This window comes from Homo sapiens, chromosome 7 (assembly GCF_000001405.40).
Source record: "Homo sapiens chromosome 7, GRCh38.p14 Primary Assembly".
Lineage (NCBI taxonomy): Eukaryota > Metazoa > Chordata > Mammalia > Primates > Hominidae > Homo > Homo sapiens.
Window position 1 is genome coordinate 115198094 of NC_000007.14, and position 22684 is coordinate 115220777.

Sequence of the window (22684 nt, forward strand, 5' to 3'; positions counted from 1 at the left end):
GTTATTCAATGAATTTAAATGATATAACGAAGAATAAATCATGTTTGAATAATATAATTCCCTTCTCAGCTTTAAATTAAATTCACACTGAAATGTTAAATTGTATATAATAAAAATTTGAGAAATACATACAAACACTTCTGTGTGAATTTAAGTCTGGGAAGAGGACACACACACACACACACACGCGCACACACATCTATATCCACAATAGGTACTAGTTCTCTTCTTCTACTTGTTTGTAATCTGAGTCTTACAGGGAAGGCTTTTGACTCATTCCACAGACATGCAAAAAAATATGTATATTGTAAAAAAAATCAAACAGTATTCAGAAGTATATGGGAGAAAGTAAAGATTGCTTGAAATCCTATCACACTCAGATGCTACTATTAATGTTTTAGTGATTATAATTTTCGAGAATATCTTTCATATATACACAGTCATTACCATTTTACAAAAAATGGTTACACATCATACATTCTCTTCTATTCCTGATTCCCATTTATATTTTTTAAAGTATAGCATTTTAAAGTTTTTATCTTACTCCCCTCTTAATTTCTTTACTCTCTTATCTTTTCTTTGAACTTTATGCACTCTTCATCCATTATCTGTGGTCATATTATCATCTATAAGTATTTGTATATGGCCCTTTGATGAGAGTTGAGCAATCTTCTTTCACTGTCTAGGTTCTGAACAAATTGAGAAATAAAAGTAGCAAACAGAGGCCAACAATATAGTACAATTTACACAAGGCTAAGTTGGAACATGTGAAAGCCAGTGGGTCTGCAAATTTAACTTCAGATTCAGGTTGACTTAACCTCCCAGTAGCAGGAACTGCTCAGCTGGAGCAGGTTCATTATCCTGTGTATCTGTAGGGGAGGCAAAGGCCTGCCCTGAAAGATGTAGAACACAGGAGCAGAGAAGAGCAAGAGTGCCTGTGAGCAGGGGCCCACTCCAAGAGAAAAGGGCTGTGGTGGATTAGCACAGACCTCCCCCAGGGGCTATAGCTGCTCCAGGAGTTGCAGAGCAGAACTTTTCCCCAAAGGTCCTCAAACCCCAAATAAACAAAATGGTTCAGATGAATGAAACATATCCAGTATATTCTTCCCAAATGTATTATGAATATCACTCTACCTCCCCAGGAATTAAAATTTAAGATACTTCAACATGAGGAAAAAAATGTTAATACTAAACAAGGGTTCTTCCCAGGGCATGGTTGTAGATTTCTTTTTTGTATCATTTAAACAGAATCATATTTGTATACACCTCTTTGATTCTTACTTTTCCTCATTCATGAATACACTGAAGAAATCTGTCAATATGAACAAGTATAGACCTAACTGATTTTTTGCAATCGGTGCAGGCTCTTCTATGGTAGAGATACACCACAATTTATTCAACTATTCACATTTTTTACTTTCTTTATGAAAACTTTGCCTTATATAATTTTAATTTTTTATGTAGTTAATATGTCTTTCTAAATATATTCTGAGCATTCTGTTTTAACAAAAACGGTCCATGCAAACATATATGTACATTCTTCCAGAATTTTCGAGGCTTTATTTTTGCATATGTCTTTACTTTATTTAGAATGGTGTGAACTGTAAACAATAAGCAATATGCTACTCTAATATTTTGTTAAACATTTTTGTACATAGGTCTTTAATGTACTGATCCTGCTATTTCTCTGGGATAGATTTCCTAGAGTAAAGACTATTGAGTTGAAGGATGTGAAATTATAATAGATATTGCTAGGCTTTCATATGAGTTGTAACAGTTCACATTTTCACTGGTAATGTGTAACAGGACATATTTACTTGAATACTCACAGCATTAAATATTCCCACTTACTTTTTCACATTGGCCAATCTAATAAGTGTAATGTAATAGCTTCCAGTTATGTGCTGGCCTGCTTTATTACTTCATTGAGGATTCTGGTAAAAATTCACTTTACTAAGGTAATTCTAGACTAATATATCTATAATAGCCAACCTCCCTCATCATCATTCCTTATCCAGATTTTACATTTTTTAAATTTTGTACCACTTATCATCAGGTTATTTCTTTTCTTTTCTTTCTTTCTTTCTTTCTTTCTTTCTTTCTTTCTTTCTTTCTTTCTTTCTTTCTTTCTTTCTTTCTTTTTCTTTTCTTTTCTTTTTTTTTCTGAGACGGAGTCTCACTCTGTCACCCAGGCTGGAGTGCAGTAGCATGATCTTGGCTCACTGCAACCTCTGCCTCCCAGGTTCAAGTGATTGCCCTGCCTCAGCCTCCTGAGTAGCAGGGATTACAGGTGCGCACCACCACACCCAAATAATTTTAGTATTTTTATTGGAGATGGGGTTTCACCATGTTGGTCAGGCTGGTCTCAAACTCCTGACCTCGTGATCCACCAGCCTCAGCCTCCCAAAGTGCTAGGATTATAGACATGAGCCACTGTGCCCGGCCTAGGTTATATATTTTCCTTGTATATAATCTCTTCTACCGTCAACTAAAATATAAGCTTCATAAGAGCAATAACTGTTCTTTTTTGCTTGATGTTGAATTCCTAGCACCTAAAATTTAATAAACAATTAATTTGTGTTTTCCTATATATTGATTGAATTTTTTTACTGTCCATTGGTCATTTGTATTTGCTTTTCTTTTAATTGCTTATTCATATCATTTAACTATATTTATAATTACTTTATCAATTTTGAGGTGTTTTTGGTATACTACAGATATTATCTAATATATTGCAAATAAGTCTCATTTTTTACTTTATGATCACCTTGTCTTTTATTATTTTAATTTTTATATAGCAAATATATTTATTATTTTTTACATATTATATTTACATATTTATTACATATTTTTGAGGTTTTATTTATGTTTACATTTAAGGTTTTACCTTATCTAGAATGAGAATGAGCTTAACATTATTTTCTGCAAAATGGATGTCTGCTACACCAGGAACATTTTAAAGTTAATCATTATTCTCCACTCAATAGAATTATCACCTTTGTCATATATTAAATTCTGTATACATTTGAATCTGTTTTTCAGTTCTAACATTTCAATTAATCTATTTCTATTTTGATTAATTTTATTTTTAAATATTTTGGGTTATTCTAAACTTGATATTCCCAGAAATTTTGATATTATATTATCTCAGTACAACACAAAGTACAACGCTATTAGGTGTTTATGCAAATTACATTTAAGTCATTAATTTGAGGGACAATATGTATTTGGCATAACAGTAAATCTTTCAATCCAAAAACACATGTATTAGTTACTTTTTGTTGCATAATAAGCCATCCTAAAATGTTGTGGCTTAAAATACAATAAGTAGTTATTATCCTTTCAATTTCTGTGGTTCAGAAATTTGGGAGTGTCTTGGTTAGAAGGCCTTGGCTTGGGTGTCTCTCAGGGAGTTGCACTCAGATGATGGCTGGGGCTAGAGCCACTCAAAGGCTTCTCGCTCACATGCCTGGGCTGGAAAGGAGTGCCAATGTCACACTGAGAGATGGGATATATATTGTTGCAACTATTATTTAAAATTACCGTCTCCCACAACATGGTATACCTTCTCGTTTATTCTGTCCTTATTTTATAGACTTTCACAGAATTTTATAGTTTCATTTTTATGGATTCTACACACTTCATGTTAAATTTGTTCTTGAATACTTTATAATTGTTGTTTCTATTGCAAATGGAATATTTTCCTTTTTATTTCTATCTTCTTTTTGCTAGTATAAAGGAAAGTTATTGATATTTGAATATTTGTCTTAATCTAGCCACTTACCACATTTCCTCATATATTCAAGTAGTTTTTAATAGAATCTTTTGGGTTTTCTTAGATATTCAGTAATATTATTAGCAAAAGAGCTAATTTTCCAAAATGACACTGATTAGTTTTTCTTCTCTATTCTAGACAGAAAAATCTCTGAAGAGATGTTGGATAATAATAGATAGCAAGCATCTTGTTCTTGTTCCTTCTTTTAAAATAAATGGTTTTCTATTATCAGATAGATTGATACTTGCTATTGCTTTTGCTAAATAATCTTTATCAAATTTAATTAACTTCTTTCTATTTCTATTCTACTTGAATTGCCTCAAAACATTGGCATTATCTGTATTTTACAAGTTAGATGGAACTGTGAACCATGTAGTCTTGATGTCTTTTTAAATAATCAATTTTAAAACCATTATTTTGATCTCTTCTGTGATACTTATTTCATCAATTTCCTCCAAAGTTTCCACTTTACTTGTAGAGTTATACTGCTCATTTATTTATCTATGCCATTGATTATTTTCTGAATCTCAGGTTCAGAGGGTTACATTAATTATACTCTTTTTGCAGTTAACTACACACCCTTTCTTATTTTTTGAATTCTAGCTCATGGCTCTTTACATTTTCTCTAATATTATCAATTGCTTAATTCATGATGATTTTGTTATGCCTGTAGATGATCCTCTCAATACTCTACCTTCTCAGTTCCTATTAACACTGAAGTCAGCTAATGTTACTCCTCATCTCAAAGCCATCCAATGGATCTCCATTAACTTTCTGACCCTGTCTCCTACTATTATTCCTTTCATTCTTCCTGCCATGGCCACACCAGCCTGGTTGTGTTTCCTCAAATACGCCATGTGATTCCCTCTTTAGCTGGAGAACTTTAACCCAGGTAACCTCATGGTTTGTCCCTGATCTCCTTCAAGTCGTGGCTAAAATTGATTTCACAGAGAAGCCTTCCATAACCACCCTATTTGAAACTCCAGCTCCTCTCTCGTTCTCTCTAACGTCTTTCCTATTTGTTTTTCTCCATAGCACTTGTCACCATCTGACATATTAGATTCTTTTATTTATTTATTTTGTTTATTATCTCTCATACTCAAAAAAGGGCATACTGTTTACCCAGAATATTAAGGAAGGTTTAACTAAATATTTGCTGAAAAAAATACGTTGTCTTCAGGATAGCCAAAATTTTTACAAGGCAAACTAGATCCCTAGTTATGTGGAGAAAAGAGGAGAAAAAGAGAGAGAGAGGAAGAGAGAGAGGAAGAAAGAGTGAGAATGCCAGACAGAAGCTGTTTTACCTTCTGTGACCAACTTCAGAAGCCACTTAGAGTCACCCCCACCACGTACTACTGGTCAAAGCAATTACAAAGATTCATGTGGATTAAAAGAAATAAACATCTGAAAATTATTTTCAAAATTTTCCTTTTTGTCTTTAAGAGGATTACTAGTTTTAACTGATTTTCTGATCCTTAAAAATATCAACTTTTAGAACATTTATCCTATTATTTTTATTGTTTATTTATTTTTCAGATATTATTGTTATTTTAGTGTCTTTTAGTTTTTGTTCTTTTTATAATTTCTTGAGATAAGGTGTAATCCCATTTATCTTTCATCTTTCTTTTTAATAAGAAGATATTTTAAAATCTGTTTTTCTCTTTGGATAGTTTTAGCAATGTGCTAAAATTAACTTTTGGTAGAAAATGTTTTATTTTTTTTCTAAATTAAAAAATTTAATTTTAATACTCTCTTTGGACTAAGCATATTTTTAGGATAAAGTTTTTTATTTTCTAATAAGATATGCTAGTAATTTTACAATATTTGTTTTTAAATGTAGTTCATTTTGATTAAAGATAATGCTGTTAAGTATTATTAATTTTGATCAGAGAATATAAATGTTCTACATTATAAGATTTAAGGGTTTTTTTTGTAGTCAATTGCATAATTTTTGAAGTGATTCCATGGATATTTAAAAATGTATATTTCTATTTATATGTATTTCATTCTTTTATTGAAAGTAATTCATCTGTAACTTTATTTTAAAAAATGTTGTTCATAAATTTTTAATAATGCTTGCTTTAACTATTTACCTTCTTTATTTATTTTGGTGCTTTCACTTTCACATAATTCTCTTTGTTTCTATCTGTACCTTAATCTTAAATTCTATCTTTTTTATTAGTAATATCACTACTCATATTTTCTTTGTGTCTTCTGATATTTCATAGCTAGTCCTACTATCTGTAAATTTGCCTGGTAAGATATAAAACTTTGTTTTTTTGGATGGAGTTTCGCTCTTGTTGCCTAGGCTGGAGTGCAATGGCGCTATCTCTGATCACCGCAAACTTCGCCTCCCAGGTTCAAGTGATTCTGCTGCCTCAGCCTCCTGAGTAGCTGGAATTACAGGCATGCACCACCACACCCGGCTAATTTTGTACTTTTAGGAGAGATGGGGTTTCTCCATGTTGGTTAGGCTGATCTCAAACTCCTGACCTCAGGTGATCTGCCCACCTTAGCCTCCCAAAATGCTGGGATTACAGGCGTGAGCCACTGCTCCTGGCACAACTTTTTTATACCATCTAATTTGATAGCATCTGCTGTCAAAAATCAGATTTTATCTTGTTTACATTTAACATAACAACCAATATTTTATTTTACTCTTTTAATCTTAATTTATATTCATTTTTAAATACTGTTTTTTCAAATTAAGTTCTACTCTACTTTTCCATCCTACTGGTTACTCCTGTTTACCTTATTGTTTCTTAGTCTTTTAATATATTACTTTCTCCTATCACATTCTTTGTTCCTCCACCCACTGAAAAACCAAGAGCCAACATTATCCCTTTACAATGCCTTTTTTCTATTCATTTTTATGTAGACAATGGATTACTGAAATAAATGTAGCTTCCTCTTACCATTAAATTCCAGGTAATCCAATCTAAATGCTCCATTGTGACCCAGTGATCCAAAGGCTTAATAGGGCACCTTAGAATATCACAATGCCAGCTCAACACCCACATTTAGAGCCAAAAGTTATTGTTACTTAGTGATTTCTCTGAGAAGGAATTGTAGACAGAGAAAAAAATAAGACAAGAAAGAAAGAAAATCTTCCAAATTTTACATAGCATGAATCCCTGTCATTTCATGCCAGTTATACAAATTTTATGTGTACAATTTCAGTACAATGAATAGAAATCTGTTATCAAGGGATTAGTGTGCTCTTCCAAGCCTTTTATAGCCGGCACTTCCTGGGTGCTCTTCTAGGTCTATATCCTCAGATTCTTCAAAGGAAGAAGGGAATTTAGACAGATGCTCCTCCTCAATATCTTGTAGAAATTCCAGAGTTATTGCTCCTATTTCCCCCCACCACTAACGTAAATCTATATATTGAGACCAGAATAATCAATTGTGCCTGGAAAGAGAGATACTGAAAATAAGAATAAGCCAATGAGAGAGTGCTTATGGACCAGAAAGAAAGTGCTTGCTCTCCAGGACATCAACAGGTGCTTAGACCTGTGAGATTAGCAGCTCCCTCCTCTCTTTCAGTAGATCCAATAAGAATAGGCAGATAGAAAATGTGCAGTGAGGAGTTGGAAGAGTATCCTTCTTTTTAAAAGCATTATACACTTTTTGTAATTAATTGCAGTTGTTTTTATGAATTTTAGTTTCCCTACAAAATTATAAACATTTTTTTGGGGGTGTGTGTATTAATCTGTTCTCATGCTGGTAATAAAGACATACCAGAGACTGGGTAATTTATAAAGGAAGGAGGTTTAATTAACTCACAGTTCAGCATGGATGTGGAGGCCTCAGAAAACTTACAATCATGGTGGAAGGGGAAGCAAACATTCTTCTTCACATGGTGACAGCAAGGAGAGAATGAGTGTCCAGAGAAGGGAGAAGCCCCTTATAAAACAATCAGATCATGTGAGAACTCACTATCATGAAAACAGGATGGGGGAACTGCTTTCATGATTTAATTATCTCCACCTGGCCCTTCCCATTATATATTGGTATTATTGGAACTAAAAATCAAGAGGAGATTTGGGTGTGGACACAGCCAAATCATATCATTCTGCCCCTGGCCCCTCCCAAATCTCATGTCATCACAATTCAAAACACATTCATGGCTTCCCAACAGTTCCCCAAAGTCTTAACTCACACCAGCATTAGCTCAAAAGTCCAAATCCAAAGTCTCATTTGAGATAGGGCAAGTCGTTTCCACCTATGTGCCTGTTAATCAAAAGCAAATTAGTTACTTCCTAGATACAAAGTGGGTACAGGAATTGGGTAAATACACCTATTCTAAATGGGAGAAATTGTCCAAAACAAAGGGGCTACAGGCCCCATAGAAGTCTGAAATCCAATAGGGAAGTCATTAAACCTTAAAGTTTGAAAATGATCTCCTTTGATGGCATGTCGCACATCTAGGTCACATTGATGCAAGAGGTGAGCCCCAAAAGCCTTGGAAAGCTCTACCTCTGTGGCTTTGCAGGGTGCAAGCCCCAGCCCTAGGGCTTTCACAGCTGGTGTTGAGTGTCAGAAGCTTTTCCAGGCACACAGTGCAAGCTGTCTGTGGATCTACCTTCTGGGGTCTGGAGGATAGTGGCCCTCTTCTCACAGCTCCACTAGGCAGTGCCCCAGTGAGGACTCTGTGTGCAGGCTCTGACCCCACATTCCCCTACCCCACTGTCCTAGCAGAGGTTCTCCATGAGGGCTCCACTGCTGCAGCAGACTTCTGCCTGGACATCCAGGCATTTCCGTACATCCTCTGAAATCTAGGCAGAGGCTCCCAAACCTCAATCCTTGACTTCTGTGCACCTGCAGGCTCAACACCAAGTGGGAGGCGCCAAGGCTTGGGGTTTGCACCCTCTGAAGAAATGGCCTGAGCTGTAAGTTGACCCTTTTTAACCATGGCTAAAACTGAAGCACCTGAGACTCAGGGCACCATGTCCTGAGTTGCCTAGAGCAGGGGGACCCTTGACCCAGCCCTGGAGGCATTTTCCCCATTGTCTTGGTGATTAACATTTGGCTACTAATTACTTATGCAAATTTCTGCAGTAGGCTTGAATTTCTTCCTAGAAAATGGGGTTTTCTTTTCTATTGCATTGTCAGGCTGCAAATTTTTCAAACTTTCCTGTTCTGCTGCTTCTTGAACATTTCGTCACTTAAAAATTTCTTCTGCCAGATACCCTAAATTATCTCTCTCAAGTTCAAAGTTCCACGAATCTCTAGGGCAGGGGAAAAATGCTGCCAGTCTCTTTGCATAGCAAGAGTGACCTTTAATCCAGTTTCCAATAAGTTCCTCATCCCCATCTGATACCACCTGAGCCTGGACTTTATTGTCCATATCCCTATCAGCATTTTGGTCATAGCCATTCAACAAGTCTCTAGGAAGTTCTAAACTTTCCAACATTTTCCTTATCTTCTTCTGAGCCCTCCAAGCTATTCCAGCCTCTCCCTGTTACCTAGTTCCAAAGTCACTTTCACATTTTTGGGTATCTTTACAGCAGTGCTGCCGTACCCTGTACCAATTTACTGTATTAATCTGTTCTCACACTGCTATAAGGACATATCCAAGACTGAGTAATTTATAAAGGAAAGAGGTTTAATTGACTCACACTTCTGCAGGGCTGGAGAGGCCTCAGGAAACTTTCAATCATGGCAGTATGGGGACCAAACATGTCTTTCTTCACATGATGGCAGCAAGGAGAAATGCTAATCAAAACAGGGAAAAGCCCCTTATAAAACCATCAGATCTCATGAGAACTCACTATCATGAGAACAGGATGGGGACTGCCTACATGATTCAGTTATCTCCACCTGGTCCCTCCCACGACATGTGGAGATTATGAGAACAATTCAAAATGAGATTTAGGTTGGGACACAGTCAAACCATATCAGGGGGAAAGGTATACTTGATTCTTTTTGAAATTATAATAATTATTATTTATTACCATACTGAGCTGTTATCTTAATGACTGACTGAATTCATCACAGACTAATGCATAATTTAAAAAAAAAATTAAGTCTAGTCAAATGCAACAGTGGAAGCGGAGAAGGAACAAGGAAATCTGTAACTGCTTGTGATCAATTTAGTTGTAAACACTACTGCACTTGGACCATTCTCATCTTAATAGTTTCTGCTTGCTTTTCTAATCTTTCAAATTAGTTTTTGAATTTTTCTAACATCAAGAGCTAGCTAGTTATTTAATGAAATAAAAGATGTGTGGATTCTGTTACTTTGTGTCTGGTCCTTAGTAAGGACTGAATAAATGTTGTATCTTACTATTAATAATAGTGTTTCTGTATTATACATAGAGATGATGAATGTGCAGGAAAAGTGACCTGTGACATACCAAGTTATTTCCAAATTTACAAAATAGTTAATTAGTATTTTTTGGATATGACAATTTAAAAAACTGAGTTTGACTGTGACAACACACAGTCCACATTCTCTGCCTTTTTAAAAAAGTAAAAGTTACAGTATGTTAGGAGATATTATAATTATATTATGTCACAAATAAAAATACACTGTGCTTGTTTTATTTCCCAAATTTTTTTAAGTATGTAAAAAGCATCCATTTTATAACATATACCAGAATTTTATGGAGAATTGAAGTCATAGTCACTAGTTTGTATAATGTATGTAATATTTTAAAAATAACTCCATGCTTCCTTATTAGCAAGACAGTTTTTTTTTCTACACCCTGCCCACTATTAAAGTTAATCCATTAGAATAGAGTCCGGGAGAAAGAAGATATTACTAAGGTAAATCCCTCACTGGAGAGAAGAGGAAAAAAAAATGTCTTTTAAAGTAGAGGCAAGGGACAATCATACTTTAAAGATTGAGGGAAGAAGAAAAAAAGAAGCAAGTGGTGAGATACTTGTGTTCTGACCTCCCTTTTCCAGCATGAAATCTTAAGAGAGATGAAGGCTGCAAAGGTTGAGGTGAGAGTTGAGAGCAAAGTGTGTTTTGCTTCACTTCCTATTGTGAGTCAGCAAGGGTCTGCCCTGCAGGTGGAAGCATCAGATAGGAAGAAGTGGCACATTGAATAACTATTTCCTCCCCCTGTTTGACTTCCCTGTGGTATGGAAATGATCTAGAATCATCTGTGTACCCTGAGGGAAAGCTGAATATGGCAGGCCAGTAGAGATTGTCAGCAGAGGTGGCAGGAAATAGGTGTAAACGTGATCCTCTAGCCAAGCACCATGGGACAGGCTGCCTGGGCAGCCTGGGCAAAGGATCAGTCCCATTTAGGAATTTATAGTCACGTGATAGCAGAGGTAAACTGAGTCAGCAATAAGGGCAACCAATTCCTGATGAATCCAAGAAAGAACAGATGACCAGATCATGGACTTCCTATTTCCTGGTGCCTAAAGGTCTGGGATTTCCCTCAAACCTCCACATTATGTCTCCCTTATATCATAAAGCGATAAGCCCTAGAGCCATATGTCACGGCCTGGAGGGGTATGCTTTCTACATTATGTGAGAGCTCTATGTGATAAAAGCTATAGGCTGAGCCCTTATCATGATAAATGGTAGCTGATAGGATTTAGTAAATCCTCTCTTAAGATAATAGCAGGGCTTGCTGATATGTTGCCTTGCTGAAAAATCTCATTTAAAACATCAAAAGTGAAAGATTAACTATTTTCATACAAATCCTAATATCCCGCTAAGCAAATGGACGCTTTAGACCAAAAAGGCCAAGTATTTACTTGGAAGGAGAAAAGAGATTCATTAACAAGTTTGAAAATAACATCTCAGTTATAGTTATTTTAAAAACTAGTCAGAATATCACCTAAATACTATAGATGCATATATTCTTTATTGTACATAGAAGCAAAGTTAATTAGAGCTAAAAGAGATCATATAAATTATCTATTCCAACCTCAGAAATGAGAAATCTGAGATCCGAAAAGGTTTAGATAGCTTGCCTTGGGTCACATATTGAGTATAGAGTAAGTCCAGGCAAGAACCCATTCTTGATTCTTATTCTAGTGCCTCCTTTCCTACCTTTCATCTCCACAAATTTGACAATTCCTTATCCTTGAACACTTATTCATTCATCTGTAAGTATTTGAAGACAGAATGCTTCATTGATCTTCCTTTTGCAGATTCAATTTCCTGCTTACATTCTGACTCCAAAAGGAGCTTGCTCAAAGAATGACTGCTGGGCAAATTATATGATGATCTTAGTAATTTAGAAACATCATGCCAATATTAGACTTCTTAATTCTATTTTTTTAATTGCAGATATCTAGAGAATTCTTCATTCTGGTCAAGAAATTTTCATGGTAATGGTTTTGATTTTTAAAGAGACTTAAATGTTTCTTTGAAAAAGGAGACCTAGAAAATTCTTCCACTATTATTAATTCTCAGAAAATAATTTAATTGAACCTCACTGAAGCTAATTAAAAGGATAATTTCTCATTTTGCTTTGTGGTCCCATGGACTTAATTCAACTGAAGAGGTGTATTTTTTTTTTTTTTTTTTTTTTTTGGAGGTAACTGTGCTAAGAATCAGCATCAGGGGAACAAGATGAGAAATGCCCTCATATTTCTATTCTTCTTATCTCATGACAAAAACATCTTGTACAAGTTTACTCTTTCCGAATAATTTCACCCTTTTCATGCATACGTAAATTATTTCCTTTTTTAATGCTAAGTAAGTTTCTTATGAATTTTTTAAAATTTTTGTTTTATATATAATAATTATCTAATGTAATTCAGCAAACACTTGTTTATAAAGATTAACCATTTTATTTTTGTTTTTAATTTTTATTTTTTTAGACACAAGTTCTCATTACGTTGCCTAGGCTGGAGTGCAGTGACTATTTACAGGGTTGATTATAGCTCACTGCAGCCTCAAATTCCTGGCCTGAAGTGATCCTCCTGTCTCAGCTTCCCCAAATAGCTGGTACTATAGATACCCACGACTGCATCCGGCTTTTATTTATTTTTATTTAACACTTTGTACTCCTTATTACATGGCAGGCAGTACTCTAAATGTTTCATAAGAATTAATGCAGGTATGGACTATTATACACCGCCCCATTTTATAAATAAAGCTATTTAGACAAAGAAAACTTAAACAACAGTCAAACTCAGGTATTTGTTACATAGATGCATATTCTCAATGTTGATTATAGGAGCCATGCTTGCTACTAGGGATACTAAGAGGAATGAAACACTATGCTCTAAAGAAACTTAGCTTATTACAACGTACTGTTTGGTAGATACAGATATATAAAAACAGCAGTGTTCATTATTATGAATATATGTAAAAAGTGCTATGGGAAGTAGAAAAAGGATTTCAGAGGAAGGAGGAACACTGAAGTTGTGCCTTAAAAATAAGGAGAATTTCATCTAAGTAGAATGTTATTTAGGAAAACGTAGAAAAAAAAAGAGCAAATACCAGCCAGTCTAAAAGTGCAAGATGTTTCCTGGAAATAGATTCATCTAGTGTGGCTGGGAGTTGAAAAGAAGTGATAATAAAAGTACATGAAGAGTTAGAGCAGGGCCAGATTAAAAATGACATTCAATGTGAGGGTCAAAGTTCTAAATTTATCCTGGTGGTGGAGGGGGTTATCTAAGGTTTTTTTTTTTTTTTTTTTTTGAGAAGAGTTTCACTTTATTTTTATTTAACACTTTGTACTCCTTATTGCATGGCAGGCAGTACTCTAAATGTTTCATAAGAATTAATGCAGGTATGGACTGTTATACACTGCCCCATTTTATAAATAAAGCTATTTAGACACAGAAAACTTAAACAACAGTCAAACTCAGGTATTTGTTACATAGATGCATATTCTCAATGTTGATTATAGGAGCCATGCACTATAATCAACTAATGTTGATTATAGGAGCCATCTTGGCTCACTGCAACCTCCACCTCCCGGGTTCAAGCAATTCTCCTGCCTCAGCCTCGGGAGTAGCTGGGATTACAGGCGCAGGCCACCATGCCTGGCTAATTTTGTATTTTTAGTAGAGATGGGGTTTCTCTATGTTGGTCAGGCTGGTCTTGAGCTCCTGACCTCAGGTGATCCGCTTGCCTTGGCCTCCCAAAGTACTGGGATTACAGGCATGAGCCACCACCGTGCCCAGCCTCTAAGTTTTTTGTTTTTGTTTTTGTTTTTTGTTCTTTTGCATATGGAATTATATGACTACTTTCAAGTTGTAGAAATGTTAATCTAGGTCAGATGTTATGTTAATCTAGCTCACGCCTGTCATCCTAGCACTTTGGAAGGCTGAGGCAGATGGATCTCTTGAAGTTAGGAGTTCAAAACCAGCCTGGCCAACATGGCGAAACCCTATCTCTACTAAAAATACATAAATTAGTGGGGGTGGTGGCGCACACCTGTGATCCCAGCTACACGGGAGGCTGAGGCAGGATAACTGGTTGAACTCGGGAGGTGGAGGTTTCAGTGAGCCAAGATAGTGCCACTGCACTCCAAAAAAAGAAATGTTAATCTAGCCATGATGTGAAAAATGGATTTGAGTGAGAAAAGACTGGGATGGGGCTACCAATTAAGGGCTGCTACAGCAGCTCCGGTGTAAAAGAAAATTAACTCCCTAAACAATGATAGTGCCAAAGGGAATAAAATGAAGGAAAACAAAAAAATATGAGAAGACTGACAAGTTTACCAGACAAGATAATGGGTGTGTTTTTGGAAACATTCAGTTTCAGAGGACAATGCCCACAATGTGGTTGCAAATACAGGTGCAAAAGAGACTGGAGCTTGAAATATAGATTTGGGATTCATTAGGAATTATGACATTGGGAGACATGGGTATAGATAAATGCACAGTGGGAGAATGGGGTGGGGATAAATGCAGAGTCAAAAGTCGGGTGAAAGAATGGAATCTATCAGAAGAGGGAGAAAAGAAAGACAGCCATGGGAAAGAAGCATCCGAAATCCAGTGAAAGAAAATGTTTAAAGAAGGAATAAGTGGTTAACCATCTTACATGCAACAGAGAATAGTCGTAGGATGAGGACCATAAAATTTGGTAGTTAGAATTCCAATTAGCCTAAAATCTTTTTTGTTGTTGTGGCTTCAATTCTGTAGGCTGAATGCAGTTTGCTGAATTGTGGCCCTGAAGGATGTCCATGTCCTAATTCCTGGTACCTATGAATGCCACTTTATATGGCAAGGATTTTGCAGATGTGATCAAGTTAAGGATCTTAAGATGAAAGTAGCCGAGATTATCCAGGTGGGCCAAATAATGTTATCACAGTGTCCCTACAAGAGGGAAGCAGAGAGAGATACGGCTAAAGAAGACGTCAGTGTTAGGATTGAAGCTGTGCTAAGCTGCTGGCTTAGAAGGGGGTTCAGGAAGGGACCATGAGCTGATGAATGCAATGCATGCAGCTCTAGAAGCTGGAAAAAGAAAGAAATGACTTCACTCAGTGCCTCTGGAGGGACAGTTGACCCTGTTTCTCACATATACTGCTTTTCCTCACTGCAGCTTAAAGCCAACCAAAGTTGAGGGGCAATGGGAAATCTTAATATTAACCTGCATTGGGCTTTTTAATATCTAGGATATGAAATTACGTTAGTATGTAGGAGTGCCCAGTGTGCCTGAGATTTCACAAAAGAATAGCAGATGAGATAGCTAGCGGTGAAAAAGAACACACTGATTGCATCCAGATACTCCTGAATCCCGCTTATTCAATACGGTACTTATGCTACAAATAATGTAATTATGGCTCACCAAGAGTAGAAAATCTTCAAAAAGTTTAAAGACAAACAGAGGTGGATGGTGGAAAATGATTAAGTAAATGATATTCTCATTTACTTAATCTCAGGATCAATAGTGACATAGTTTGGATATGTGTGGTGGCCCAAATCTCATGTTGAATTGTAATCCCCAATGTTGGAGGCAGGTAGTTGGATCACGAGGTTATATCTCTCTTGAATGGTTTAGCATCATCCCCTTGGTGCTGTTCTCATGAGATCTCATTGTTGAAAAGTGCATGGCACCTCCTGGCTCCCTCTCTCACTCTTGCTCTGGTCATGTAATGTGTCTGCTCCCCCTTTTGCCTTCTACCATGATTGTAAGTTTCCTGAGGCCTCCCCAGGAGCCAAGAAGAGGCCAACACCATGCTTGCTGTACAGCCTGCAGAAGTGTGAGCCAATTAAACCTGTTTTCTTTATAAATTACCCAGTCTCAGGTATTTCTTTATAGCAATGTGAGAATAGCCTAATAAAAATAGTTTAATAGAATGCCATTTGTAAAAAGTGGATAATTAGATATAATTCTTTAAAAAGCTACATATGAGATGACTGTTAAGTAAAATGCAAAATATAAGACCATACATAGCAGGAATCACAAATTCAAATGTCCACCAGAGGTTTCAGATTAAAAACAGAGTCTGATAGCCTTGGTAGACTAGAGAAGACATAACCTCTGAAGAGAATGGCTTTAACCAGTCATTGACAGGAGGAGTTGGTGACACTCAGCCCTCACTAGATTTTGCAGTTCTCAACAGAAGGAAAAACAAATAATTCTGAATCTGTATGTGAAATCTTCTAAGTTTGATAAATTATAGGCAACTGTATTAGTTTGCTATTGCTGCTATAAAAAAAATCCACACATTTAACAACTGATAACAACACAAATGTATTCTCTTAACAGTTCTAGAGGTCAGAAGTCTAAAATGGGTATGCAGGATTACTCCTTCCAGAGGATCCAGGGAAGAACCCATTTGCTTGTCCTTGCCATATTCCAAAGGCTACCTACATCCTTTGGATCATGGCTCCCTTCTTGTATATTCAAAGCCAGCAGGGTAACTTCTTCAAAGTTTTCTCCATCCCTCTGCCTCTGTTTTCACATCTCTTTCTGTCTGACTCTGACTCCTCCAGCATCTCATCTCTCATAAAGACTGTTCTGATTACATCAGACCCACCGTGATAATCCAGGATGATCTTCCCATCTCAAAATCCTTAATCATATCTGCAAAATCCCTATTGCCATATAAGGCAACATTTGCAGGTGTTGGCAATTAGGATATAGACATATTTGGGGGCCATATATCATCACAACAACCAATTCCCAAATTGCAGTATGTTAGTCAACATGAAAAAGCTAATTAAATATGTCAATGAGGCAAACTCTTCTTGCAGGCTGACAGTTTGCCATTTTTGGAACTTTTCCTTGGGTTCTTTACCTTTTTTACTCCTCTCACTTCTTGCAGCACATCTTATATAATAAAGGGTTTCACACTTGGGAATAGCATGTGCTGTGAAGTGAAAAATGTGATAGTGAAGTTTAATATAATTCTATGGCCGGGTGCAGTGGCTCATGCTTGTAATGCCAGCACTTTGGGAGGCTGAGGTGAGTGGATCACGAGGTCAGGAGTTCAAGACCAGCCTGGCCAAGTGAAATCCCGTCTCTACTAAAAATTCAATAATTAGCTGGCTGTGGTGGCCAGCACCTGTAATTCCAGCTACTCGGGAGGCTGAGGCAGGAGAATCGCTTGAACCCAGGAGACAGAGGCTGCGGTGAGCTGAGATCGTGCCACTGCTCTCCAGCCTGGGCGACAGAGCTAGACTCCATCTAAAATACATATATGTGTATGTGTAAAACACATATATATATATGTGTTTGTGTGTGTGTATATATATATGCATATTTGTATATATATAAACGCATATTTGTGTGTGTGTGTGTATGTGTGTGTATATATAGTATATATATATATATATATATATATATATATATATATATATATATATATATATAAAATTCTGTGAGCCAAGGATTGTGGGGGCAACACTCTTAAAAAATGCACTTTTATTTTTATTTCAGTTAAGGACTTTTAAAATGCATTTTAATTAAGTATATTTTGAATTGTTTGCATATGATTTTCTAAGTCATTTGTCTACAATATAATTTGTAGTTCTTACCTAACATAGATATCAGTCAAAATAGATGTTAATGATTTTAAGTTGTAGAAATATTATGATTTATCAAAGTCTATCACATTGGCAAATCCAAAATATTTATAAAAGCAACATAACAACATATAGCACATTTTATCTCAATCATCCTATTAATGTTTTGTCGGGTCTTTTTGGTATTGCAGAAAATAATAAAAACATTTCTGACAACAAAATCATCATCCAGGGCAAGGCTGATGGTCCTAAAAATAATGCATGTGTAACTTGTGTCTTAGAAGCAAGTTTTTTCTGAAACAAAAGAAAAACCTTTTGTTCTCTAGTTAATTACTTCATTATGTTGTAGGTCCAGAATTCTTTCTGAAGAAACCAACCCATTTTAAGGGAAATCACAAAATATTACAGATTATACCATTCAAAACCATTCAAAAATATGGAAGATGTTGACGTTACATAATAAAGCATCTGTGTTAATGTGAAAGAATTTAAGCTTAGGCAACCAGTGCTTCAGTAATGTTTTGATTTCTGTCCACATAAAAATCCTCTTTTGTTTGTAAATAAAGAAGGGGAAATATTTCACTGTGGCATGTTCATCTATTACCTGAAAAATCAGTGGGGTCCTGCAGTTAATCACAGCATTTTCTAATGGGATTTAAAGTTAGAGCTGTCCTCAGTTTTCTTGTGTGCAGATATAAAACATTTGCTCACCAAAACCAGCTCATTTTCTTAGCTTTGTATTTTGCTTCTAGTGTGGGCTAGCTCAGCACTCAAAGATACAGATTTCCTACTATTTTGTATTTCCAGAAATGCCTGTCTTCCATACGGGTGTACAACTTTTAACAGTAATAATTTGAGATGGAAGGGGATTCAAAAGCAAAATCTGCTTTTGAGTCTGCTTGCAAGATACTCAGGGAAATATAATCTCCATTTATTAAATTTGACTGCACTATCATACATAAAGTGGTGGGAGGGAAAAATCTCTTGAAGCTAACTTGATAGCTGAGACTACTCCAGCTTTCTCCTTTGTAATGCCTGTGGTTGTCTCTTCTGAGAAGTGTGATTCAAAGCCATTTTGAGTACCTCACATTCCTTAGCAGAACCTTCTGTGCAAGGCCAGCTACTTCAGAACTAGGTGACTTGCTGCAAAAGAATTAAAAAAAAAATACTAGGATCCTCCTGAGATGACAATTTCGGGAACTACTCTTATGCAGCAGGGAAATTCAGGGCCACACACTTAAGAAAATGAACTATTCCTTGAAACCTGGCCATTTAGCTCTTGAGAAGAGGTTACACATTTTCATCTACTCTTAGCATGGCCAATGATGTTGTGAATGCTCTGAAACTATGCTTTTGTTTTGGAGAATTCTCTCAAAGAAAGCTCCTTTTTTTTCTTCCTAAACACACGTGCAGACACACAACTTACACACATAGTTTTTGTAAATGGCAGCAACACTTCTTATATATTCCCAGAGTGGAAGGAGTACTATTAAACAAAAGTGTCCCTATGTTGAATATACCTGGAACTTTTGAGTAGGGATCATAACTTCTAATCGAGAAGGAAAATAGGACAGTAAACATGTTAAAGGTGCACATACACTGTTGTTATGTAATTGCTGGTTAAAACATGTGATGCTGCATGAAGATAACTATCCTTAGGAAACTTCTGAAAATATATTAAACTACAAGGGGATTTGATTTAATCAATCACTGGAAATGAAATATGAAAAGATTTTAACTTTTTGCCTATCATATTTAATTCTAATCCAACCCTAAAAAGGAAGCACCCTCTGCTGGATTATGTAAGATATAACTGTGACCCAAAAGTAAAAAAGAGTGAGTCTAGCTATAATCAGAGAAAGGGATTACTACTGTATATTCACATGTATCAGGGTATTCACTGCCTGACCTAGATCCAAGACAGCCTTTTTGGAGATTTAAAAAATATCGCATTTATTTTTGATATTTTAGTATGAAGATTTAATATTGGTGACTAGAATGTGTTTGAAGACCTAAAAAGTCTAGAGAAGCTCATCTTAGCCCAGGTTACTTAAAACAATACGTGAAGTATACATTCTAATATATAGTCCAGTGATTAAATATGTCAAACTCAAATTACTCAATGGTTAGAGATTTTAAAAGTTTCAAGCTAATCTTGCAATTTTTCTGAATGTGGTAGTAAAATGCTAAGTATTTTTCTGTTTTTTTTCCTTAAAAATATTAAGTGAATATACTACCAATTTATATTAGAAAATAATATCCATTTACTTAAATTACTAAGCAAATATTCCATTTTTTTCTCTGTAATATCACTCATTAAGGTATTCCATTTGATATTTTTCCAGTTTACTTGCTTGTTAATTAGCATTTACTAGCAGTCGATGATATCTGGAAGTGTATGGCACCTTAAATCTTGTTGAATGAGTGAATAACTCAGACTCATAGACACAGACATATATCTCCAAAACTTATACTCAAGCTAAAGTTCTGGAAACAAGCAAAACCTGTTCTATGTCTTTGCAGATTCTAATTTAAGCAGAATTTGTTGTTGTCTGGTTGAGTCAGATCATCCTTAGCATAACACAGAGAAGCTACTCTGTGCTGATTATTATCAATTTATTGAAGATTTTAAATGCTATAATCTAGAATTTTTTCTGTAGTTAGAATGATTAGGATTCTTGAAAAAAAAAAGACTTCTAGCTTGATAAGCTTGTTATAGTACTTTTGAAGCATATCCTTCAGTTTCTGTCATTTTTTTCTTTGTAAAAAAATGAAATAATCATTCATCTTTACAATACAGGTTACAATTCCTTATGCATTTATGAAAAAAGTAGGCACAACAATATTTAAGTCAACCTTTGGCTGATTCAAAGTGGGTAGCAGAATAAAATTAGAATACAGGTCTCCCTCATTATTTATCTAGGAATCTATTGTAGAAGACTTGAAGTTATTTGAAGTAAGGACTATGTGTGACTTTTTGTCACTGATAGAAAGAAAGGATCCTAGGAAAGTAGCTAGAATATTATAAGCACTAAACAATCATTTGTATCAAATCTAGAATCTAAAGTTAATTCGCCTATCTGAAGCATAGGACAATTTTGTTCTTTTTTATAATTGTTACCAGCATACTGAGATTATTCTGGGACCTTGCTCTCCATTGAGATCTCTTTCTCTTTCTCTCTCTCTGTTACAAGGTGAAATACATACATCTGCATGCTCATGACACATTAGTGGGCTGGACAACAGAATCAGTGCAGTAATGGAGACCAATGGGCTGGAATTCCAGTTCTACCCATGCTTATTATCAAACCTATTACTCTTCTGAGCTTCACTTCATTCATCTGTAAAACTGGGTTAGTATATTATTTAGGGCCACTGTGAGCATCAGAAATAATGCACACAGAGTGCTTGAAAACTTAGGAAGTGCTCAATTAAGATTAACTTATTATCATTACTTATCCAGCATCATTTCTTCCATTGCCTGGTGATTCCTCTAAGTTCCCCCATACTAGTTCACAGCTCTAAGCCAATAAGCATATTTCTTTCTCTTTGTTTATCCTACTACTCTCCATAAATCTGGAAACCTCCTAGTTATCCTTCAATATCCCATTGAAGAATATACCTTGCAATGCTTTTTCTGGCTCTTGCAAGCAGAGTTATTGCTGCTTCCTTTCTGCCAATATAATTCCTCATGATTTTATTGTAGTTTTTTTCATAGTGTATTGCAGTTACTTTACCTGATGTCTATTATGTAGTAGGTACTAATAATGTACCTATTTTGAATTTTGAATAAATAAAAGAAACAGAACTCTGGTTAATAAATATTGATTACATATTATTATGTACCACACGTTATCAATACTAAAGTGCAGAAAAGAATACAAAGAAGAGTAAGAAAAGATCTCAACGGGAAACCCAAAAATGAAAACATGAAAGAAAAGAATGAGCAGTGAGCAATACAAAGGAGTATAGTATACAATAAATTCCACCAGAGTAATACAGACAGTAAGAACTATACAAGACAGCTGGAGTATAAAGAAAGGGCTGCATTAACAAGATATTGTTGAGGTGGAACTGCGAAGACATGTTAAGTTTTAGATGTGAGAGTGTGTGAGGATGACAGCACTGGTAACTGGAACAATAGAAAAATATTCAATATAGAAAACATTAATGATAAAAACTAACAAAACCTGTTCTAAACAGCCTACAAAAACTAAATCCTTTAATCTTTACAACAGCCCTGTGAGGTGGATTCTAGTATCACAATTTTGCATATGCAGAAATGGATTTCCCAGGTCATGCAATTTGCTTCCAAGGACACTCAACTAGTGGCAGATTCAGGATTTAAGTGGAGGTGGTCCACCCCCAGAGGCTAAACCCTAACCACTATGCTACACTACCATATATGTAAGTCTATCATGAGTTTGAGAGGTATTTGTATTGAATAGGATGACACTGATAGAAAGAATTATTCTTAGAATGCAGTGATTGGACAGCTGACTGTCTCCATATGTGTCTGTCCCTCTGTTAACATCAGTAAAATGCCTTATTCAGCCAACTTGGAGACTGAATGAGGCACTTGAAGGAGAATGCTCTGGGCCTGGCAAGCTGGTGCCACAAAAGACACGATGCTCTTCTCTACACACTTGGAAAAAAGGGGACCCACTACTGCCCGTAAGACAACTGGATGGCATATGGCTCAAGCTGCATTGAAGAGAGTTTCCTCTTTCAAGGGTTGTGTCTCATGTTCACCAGCAAGCTTTCAATTTGGTAACAATATAAAGGAAGGCTTCAATATGCTGGCCTGCAAAGTGCTCCCTGACCTGAGCCCAGAAGCACCCTGAGATGTTTATAAGCCTCAAACTCTACTAGATTTGTACTTGAAGGGTTGGGATTTATAAGTGATATCCAAATGCCATTTGTAAAACAAATAAGGAAAGAAAATATGAATTGTACATAGCTTAACCTAGTATTAGTTTAGCTTTTGAATTTTTAGACATAATATGCAAT

At 35.7% G+C, this 22684-nt stretch overlaps 1 long non-coding RNA gene across 1 annotated transcript in view, besides 1 other annotated feature; it reads right to left on the minus strand.

Moving 5' to 3' along the window:
* LINC01392 (long intergenic non-protein coding RNA 1392) overlaps positions 1-22684 on the minus strand; it is a 107757-nt gene that overhangs the window by 74495 nt on the left and 10578 nt on the right. The gene's annotated exons all lie outside the window — the stretch shown is intronic.
* Positions 18466-19022: an enhancer, noted in NCBI's record as "NANOG hESC enhancer chr7:114856613-114857169 (GRCh37/hg19 assembly coordinates)". NCBI's record gives its function as "activates a minimal SCP1, AML or CMV promoter by ChIP-STARR-seq in naive H9 embryonic stem cells {active_cell/tissue: H9 hESC(naive)}" and the evidence as "EXISTENCE:reporter gene assay evidence [ECO:0000049][PMID:30033119]".